The following is a 6275-nucleotide window of genomic DNA, read 5'->3' as shown; positions in this document are numbered from 1 at the left end:
ACGCTACACATATTCAAAATGCAGGTTAAAACAGCGTGCAAAACTGCATCTGGAAAGGTACCAGATCTATATGTAAATTCAAGCTGTAGCCCATTCTTTCCTTAAAGCAACAAAGATGTTGACTGTGATTACAGATAATAAGAGCTTTCCTTCTGATGAAATGAGCATATACTGAACCAAACATACGATATATTCCCATGACAAATATATTTACACTCAACACAGAACACGGAGAGAAAAGAAAATGTCAATAGTTGACAGCTTCTTGGCCTATGGGGTGTAATCCAGGAGCATAATAAACTCATTTAAGCTTGGTGTTGAATAAATGCATGTTAGGCCTGTGCATTTTTGGGGGGCTTTCCCCCAACACATTGTTTTAATACAATGTCACATTTCTCCGTGTTGCACAGTCCTTCTGCTGCTGTCAGCAGAGACAGGGACCAAGCTAATCTTTGGGCCAAACCAGAGGTAATTTGCCCTAATGAGTAAAGATAGGAACAAAAAAAGGACATCATGGAGGAAAATGCCTGATTGTCAAATGTTGGCAGATAACCATTTCACACTGGAAAATACGTCTCAAGAATGTTGGCTGCTGGGAGATTAAAAGTCTAAAAGAAGATGTATTTCCATGGAAGATCTTAATCATGCTGATAAAAGGATAAGCATAGTCAAGAGGATATAAACCACATCAAAGGCCACCTCTGTTTAGAAGCTGGAGACTGCTCCCTTCCCCTTATTAATGTATTTCTCATCCCAGCCAAATTGGATGTGAAGATATGTTCCTTATTCCTGGCAGATCTTGCAAGATATCAAACATTTCAGACTTTGCGTGTGAAAGCAGGACATATTGGTTAAGACTGGAAATAGCATGTTTCTGGTAGAGTTCAAGTCTATAAGAAATACTACACCCTACTGTTTTCGTAAATGCCAGAGTTCCATTGAATCGAGACAGATGGTAGCAGGCAAAGACGCAATCTTATAATCAAAAGCTAAAATATGTCAAAAATATGTTAGCAAGCAAAATATAGCAGATTACTAACTTCTCATGTCATGACAGCTTGCAAAACATGTTAGGATGTTGAATTTCTACTTATGTAAATAAAGGAGCAGTAAACAGAGGAGCAGCATGGCATGAGAACTCACGTGTTGACTGTCCCTTCACTGCAGTTTGGGGAACAGAACGAGCCACGTGGCCCCAAGGAGACCCAGATGGATATTAAAATGTCTCCAGAACAAAGCGTGGGGATCCATTTTCCTTTCATGAGCAACGAATTTCTCTGTGATACCTAGAAGCTGTTTAGCTAAATTACAGGAGACATTCGAACTTCCCAGAGAGAATTGTGAGGGTTCTGTTGAGAATCATCATGCCATTTAGCTCAAGGAAACAAGAGGGTGAGTACCCAAGTACCCAAAATGTACCCAAGGCTTTCTGTATATGTCAATCGCAGCCCAAGGAAGTTTCTTTGATCACAGTCCTGGTTTCTTAGTGTCTTGGCTAATTTTGGTCAGGGTTGTGGGGAGCAAAGGCAATGTTAATCATGGTTGGGGCAGGTGGAAGAGGAGGTGTTTTTCTTTTTTTTTTTTTTTTTTTTTTTTGAGACAGAGTCTCGCTCTGTCACCCAGGTTAGAGTGCAATGGCGTGATCTTGGCTCACTGCAACCTCTGCCTCCTGGGTTCAAGTGATTCTCCTGCCTCAGCCTCCTGAGTAGCTGAGATTACAGGCGCACGCCACCTCGCCTGCCTGATTTTTTTTTCTTTTGTCTTTTTAGTAGAGATGAGGTTTCACCATGTTGATCAGGCTGATCTTGAACTGCTGACCTCGTGATCCACTAACTTTTATTGAGCACTTACTGTGGTCCAGGTGTTGTGTACTGCTGTCATACCAAATTAGATTCTCAGCTCTTGAGATGGTAAGAAGATCACTTTTACTACTCCATGCTCAATGGAAGTTCAAATCTGACCCTCTTCCCTGCTCCCATGGTCAGGGAATCTAGGGTGGGAAGAAGGTGGGTCTTCCATTCTCACTCCAGCATGGCCCCGCCTGACACCTGCATCGCACTCCAACACAGGCTGCCTCTGCTCTGCACAGTACCAAAGACACAAACATCAGCTCCATTTTTAAATTTCCATAGAGAATCTGTTGGGGAAAACATCAATGTACCAGAGAATGATGCATTTTGGAGCAAGAAATATCTATATATCTATATCTATTAATATTTATATATACAGAGATAGATAGATAGATGGATAGATAGATAGATAGATAGATAGTCTCACTCTGTCGCCAAGGCTGGAGTGCAGTGACGCGATCTCGGCTCACTGCAACCTCCACCTCCCAGGTTCAAGCAATTCTCCTGCCTCAGCCTCCCAAGTAGCTGGGATTACAGGCATGCGCCACCACATCCAACTAGTTTTTGTATTTTTAGTAGAGGCGAGGTTTCTCCATGTTGGCCAGGCTGGTCTCGAACTCCTGAACTCAAGTGATCCCCCCATGTCTTGGCCTCCCAAAGTGCTGGGATTACAGACATGAGCCATAGAGCAAGAAATATTCTGATAAATTGCTTGGGTTGGAGAGTGAGGGTCCAAGGGTCTGCTCCTATAACAAAAGATGCTGCCTAAATTGCTGAACATAAACTAAGGAAAGGAGTTTGCATTTTTCCGGAGAAGAAGCCAGCAACCCTGAGCTCTGGAGGAGAAAGGACCACAGTAGGCGACAGGTGGTGTAGCTGCTAAGTTGGGACATTGGAGATGAGACGGGTCTAGAGCATATTCCTAAGTTTGTGTTGTTGTTGTTGCTTTGGTTTGGTTTGATTTGGTTATTGTTGAGGATTGGGCCACGTTAAACCTCTTCTGCTATCTTCTCCACAAAATCTTCAGTCAAGACGCAGTGCTTGCTAATGCTTCTGAGTGAGCTCACTCTTTATGGGGAGCGTAAAACAGGGGACGAGTCCTGTCTCTGGCCTGACTGGCCTGACACTCAGTGAAAACATAGTCACATAAGCAGGAGCCACAGAATAAGGGAACGGCTGGCATCTGGATTACCCACAGCAAACGGCACCCCTGCAGAAGCGTTCCTGAGAAGAATAGATGCATGGAGCGTGTGAGCTGGGAGACAGAACAACGTTTAGTTAGTGCAATGTTTAGCACTAGCGCCTAATGAGTCCCTCAGTCAGTGGCTGGGGAGGTCACAGCTGCTCCCCACTGGGTGCCCGACCTCACACCATCCCCATGGCCTCTCTCCCGCACCCTTCCCAACCACCCTCCTCTTCCCACATTTGAGCAAAAGTGAGTCCTTCCACTTTGCTCGTGGACAGTATTTTCAAGGCTTCCTTTCGTTGCTTTGGCTTTTGCAGACATGTTTACCCTCGGAGTCGCCACCCTAAGAGGCTTAACAACATACTTTTGTACAAAGTTCTCTCCCTGAATTTCAAATGAGAAGTTCTGGGGCTAGTTGTTAAAATAATAAATTTCGAACCTGAACTACATAGGTGTCTCCCTAAATCCACACAACAACCTCGGAACACTTGACATCTGCGTTTTACAAATGAGGAAAGTGGGGTTCAGAAAGGTATTTGCCCAGGGTCTCAAGGCTGAGTGTGGGCATGATTCAAAATCAGAGATTATATGAGAAAAAGGATGAGAATATGTATATCTGTGTGATACATATTTATGTATCAAAGACTGATGTAGAATTATGTCTCTACATACAGAATAACGTTAAACATTTATTAATTAGCACCTTATTCGGCATTTCATTGAGAAAGATAATCGTTTCTAAGACCAAATAAGATCTCTGAACTTCCCTATAACTGTCATTCTGTGCAAAAAATTGACTTGGGGTGGGTTCCTGCTAAGTAATGTATGAAATATGCAATTCACACATTCTAGTAAAATTGAAGCAGGTGAACTCTAACTGACAGGAAGTAATGAATGTAATAAGCCAAAGGGAATACCTCGGTTTAAGCAACCATATGCTTTAGTTATCAGTGGGAGTATAGAGGTAATGGTCCCCACTGCATAATTCACTTGGTGGCTTTTTCCCTAAGTGCACCTAAGTGGATGTTCCCCTGTGGGCAGAGCCAATGTACAAAGTCTTTGGGGGACTTTTTTCACAGAGAAAGGAGGTTCAGGGCCATGTGTGCTCTGAGGGGGGCTGAGTTGGGGTTGGCTCAAGAGGTAGTGGTGACTGGGAGGCAATGGGGTGGGGTCCTGGGTTCTTCAGCACTGTGTGACTTTAATCGTGGAACAAACTCCCTGGACTTTAATTTCTTAATCTCTAACATTGGGGAAAGGCCTCCATCACATAAGGCTGCTGTGAAGGCCAAGTTGCACATGGATGTGAATCATTCAGCACAATGTCTGCTGCACCATCCACGCTCAATAAATTTTAGTTCCTATTCATTAGCAGAATGTTCCTGAAAGCTCTTGCAGCCTAGGAGCAATAAAGAGTTTAAAGAACAATTGTTAATTTTATTTACCATCAATGTTTCTATCAGGTGTCATGCATGCCACTAGTGTCACAGAATTGAATCAAGATACCATCTTTTCATCCAATGAGTTCAACAAATAATCAGGAGATAGAGAAACCAACACGTAGCAATAACCCACATGAGAAACGCTTCTTGGGACTATTTTTGGTTTATTGTTTGTTTTTTCAGACAGGTTCTCACTCTGTCACCCAGGCTGGAGTACAGTGACACAATCATGGCTCACTGCAGCCTCAGCCTCCCAGGCTCAAGCAATCCTCCTATCTCAGCCTCCTGATTAGCTGATATTACAGGCATGCACTGCCATGCTGGGGTAATTTTTTGTATTTTTTTAGTAGAGATGGGGTCTCTCTATGTTGCCCAGGCTGGTCTTGAAATGCTGGGCTCAAGCAATCCTCCCACCTCAGCCTCCCAAAATACTGGGATTACAGACAAGAGCCACTGCATCCAGCCCCTTCTTCAGAGTATTTAAAAGGTGCTGTGGGAGTCCAGGAGCCAGGTGTTCACCTGTACACATGACTTCAGCCAGGGCTTCACAGAGGAGCTAGCAGAGGAACAATCAGTAGGAGTTTTTTAGGTTGTCAAGCCCAAACAGAAGAAACAGCCTGTGTGCTAATAAAGATGAATTTCTGTCATTTTTTTTGAAATTATCAGAATAAGTCTTTTGGTTCAGAGGACACAGTTCATGTCACATTTTCAGAGTCATCAAAGCAGTGTGTATTAAGCTTGTCTTTTAATTCTGATGCTTTGACATCCGGGGCCTTGCTGACCCTGGAGAGCCTGCCTCTCCCGGAGCTAGCTAAAATTCCTGGAGATAGTAAATGACTCACCTGGAGCGCGCCTTTCATATGCAAACCAACCGATTGGAGCCCATCCTCCTCCAGCTCCTCTATTGGGCTCCCACGGGACTCTATATTCGAGACCACATTCCACCTGCCCTAATCACCCCGGGGCCTAGTACCCGGCAACTAGGAACAGCCCCAGCACCCCTGAACCCACTACAATTATTCAAACTAGCCAGTGCTAAACCTGCTTAACCTGCTTACTTGGCCTCACCTATTCTCCCCGAAAAAACATAATAAATTATTGTCCATGTTTTCTCCTCGCTCCATCTGCTCCTGACCAACCCTGGTGCTTCCCCATGTGGCCTGTGTGGTGCACCTTGTCTCCTGTTTCTCAGGATCTGTGAGTAGAAACTTCTTCATTTCTGTGTCCTTGGGTCGTACCGTACATGATTAAATCAAATCCCAGGTACATTCTGAACAGGGTGTGTGGATAAGGAGTAGGTGGGGGTTCAGAACCTGGCTCCTAATCTTCAAGCTGGACCAAAAGCCCTACAGAGGAAAGAGACTGTGGCTGTCTTGTCACTGCTGTATTGCTAGCACCCCACATAGTGCTAGTACACGCTGGGTGCTGGACAAGTGTTGTTAATGAACGAATATGCAACCCACACTCTGGGCAGCGTGGATCCTGCTGACAAAGTTTGGTCTGCCTGGATATCATGTCCAGGGACCTGGAAATTCCTGAATTTCAAAGTGCAGCCCAAGAGCACACTTTGGTCCTTGAGGAGGACACAGGGGTTCCCCACAGGAGCCCACACACTGGCCACAGCCAATGCAGACAGGTAGACCAACAGGCCAGCAGCTTTGAGAACTTCTCAACCAAACTCCTGGGGATCAAAGACCATAGGAGTATCAGAATGGGGACATGATGGGACACAGGGGACTGGATTCTGGGAGAAGGAAGGAATCAGTCAGATTACAGCAAGGGAGACTGATGGGTTCAGTG

The 6275-nt window shown here is 44.7% G+C and overlaps 1 annotated feature.

Moving 5' to 3' along the window:
* Nucleotides 5054–5634: an enhancer, noted in NCBI's record as "OCT4-NANOG hESC enhancer chr18:22627867-22628447 (GRCh37/hg19 assembly coordinates)". NCBI's record gives its function as "activates a minimal SCP1, AML or CMV promoter by ChIP-STARR-seq in naive H9 embryonic stem cells {active_cell/tissue: H9 hESC(naive)}" and the evidence as "EXISTENCE:reporter gene assay evidence [ECO:0000049][PMID:30033119]".

Source organism: Homo sapiens, chromosome 18, assembly GCF_000001405.40.
Source record: "Homo sapiens chromosome 18, GRCh38.p14 Primary Assembly".
NCBI lineage: Eukaryota > Metazoa > Chordata > Mammalia > Primates > Hominidae > Homo > Homo sapiens.
Note: the sequence above shows the minus strand (reverse complement) of the source record. Positions and strands in the feature narration are given on the sequence as shown.